The sequence below is a fragment of the Homo sapiens genome, chromosome 1 (assembly GCF_000001405.40).
Source record: "Homo sapiens chromosome 1, GRCh38.p14 Primary Assembly".
In the NCBI taxonomy this organism is placed as follows: domain Eukaryota; kingdom Metazoa; phylum Chordata; class Mammalia; order Primates; family Hominidae; genus Homo; species Homo sapiens.
Window position 1 is genome coordinate 200,508,615 of NC_000001.11, and position 1,940 is coordinate 200,510,554.

General features: G+C 41.9%; 1 annotated feature.

Moving 5' to 3' along the window:
- Positions 1,737 to 1,786: a silencer, noted in NCBI's record as "silent region_1671". NCBI's record gives its function as "represses an Ori minimal core promoter by ATAC-STARR-seq in GM12878 lymphoblastoid cells {active_cell/tissue: GM12878}" and the evidence as "EXISTENCE:reporter gene assay evidence [ECO:0000049][PMID:35858748]".

Genomic DNA, 1,940 nt, shown 5'->3' on the forward strand with positions numbered 1-1,940 from the left:
GCAGAGAAATCGCTTGAACCCGGGAGGTGGAGGTTGCAATGAGCCGAGATTGCACCACTACACTCCAGCCTGGCAAGAGAGAGAGACTCCGTCTCAAAAAAAGAAAAGAAAAGAAATATGACATATTAAAAAAGAAAAACAAGGGCTTCGGTTTTTAAAATTGGCTTTGGAGCCAGATAAACCCATGCTCAAATTTTGAATCTACTGTTTACTAGCCCTGTGACCTTGAACACGTTGCTTAACCTCTCTCTCTCTCGGTTTCCTTGCTTGTAAAGTAACAATAACAATAGTATTTTTCATACCTGGCTGGAGTGAGGATTAGATGACATAATATATGCAAAGCCTTTAGAACAGTGCCTGACATATAGTGATATCTCAGTAAACAATAACTTCTGTGATTATTATTATTAATAAAGCTCTCTTTTAAGGCATCATCTCCAACCACGTCTAATGAATTGCCACTCAGTATTTGGTTCTCTGAAAAAGAAAACACATAGCTATGAATTAAAACTAAGCAACAAACAAAACATTACCTAACTTCCATTCTAGGCTGGACAGTCTTATGAGCACTTCAAGGATAAACACTGCTAGAAATTCTCCCATTAGCTTTCAGTATCTCTGGATGTCTCTGAGTGAATGAGTGAATGTCTCATTCTTTTTTTTTTTTTTTTTTTTGAGACGGAGTCTCGCTCTGTCGCTCAGGCTGGAGTGCAGTGGCACGATCTCAGCTCACTGCAACCTCTGCCCTCTGGGTTCAAGCAATTCTGCCTCAGGCTCCCAAGTAGCTGGGACTACAGGCGCCCGCCATGACGCCCGGCTAATTTTTGCATTTTTAGTAGAGACAGGTTTTCACCATGTTGGCCTGGTTTGTCTCGAAGTCCTGGCCTCAAGCCATCCGCCCACTATGGCCTCCTAAATTGCTGGGATTACAGGCGTGAGCCACCATGCCTGGCGTTTTTGTGTTTCGTTTTCTTTTGTTTGTTTGTTTTAGACAGTCTTACACTGTCGCCCAGGCTGGTGTGCAGTGGCGCGATCTCGGCTCATTGCAACCTCTGCGTCCCGGGTTCAAGTGATTCTCCTGCCTCAGCCTTCCAAGTAGCTAGGATTGCAGGCACCCGCCACCACGCCCACCTATTTTTTTTTTTTTTTTTTTTTTTTTGTATTTTTAATAGAGACGGGGTTTCACTATGTTGGCCAGGCTGGTCTCAAAGTCCTCACCTCGTGAGCCGCCTGCCTCAGCCTCCCAAAGTGCTGGGATTACAGGCGTGAGCCACCGCGCCCAGCCTTTTTTTTTTTTTAACCAGGAAAAAAATGAGAATTTTATCAGCAGCTTCAATCAAGACCAGCTCCCAAATGTGCATGGAAAACCAAGAATAGAAATCAAGCTCAAAGGGCACTCAGAAACTGACTCAGAAAACTCCAAGAGCCTCGTGCACACACAGTCAGTGTTCATAAACTTTAATAACTGCATTATTTCTATTGGCCTCAAGGTATAAAAATGGATATAAAATGTCACAAGAGAACATTTTGAGAGTGTTTAGAGATATTTCTTTTCACAAGTTTAAGAACAAAAAAATTAATATTTTTATGCTGCTTCTTTCATCTCTCTTTAGTTTGTTTTGAAGTTAAGACTTGAAGTCCAAGAGCAAATACCCATTAGTGCCCCAGAGTGGGTCATCATATTCCTGTGAGACACTGCCATCTAGTGGCCAATGTGAACACAACAGTGGATGGCTAGACCTCTTTGTCCCTCAAACTCGAGGTTTTATTGTGCAAACCTATGCGATTCCTTTCGCTGGTACTCCCACTGATTATACTGCCAATAGCTTCTAGGCTTTCAAATGAATGTTTTTCTTTTCTCAATATGAAGGGCACAAATGGGCTATAATAAAAACCATAAACTACTTGGGTTGAAGAATTAAGTATTTTTTGTATTTGGA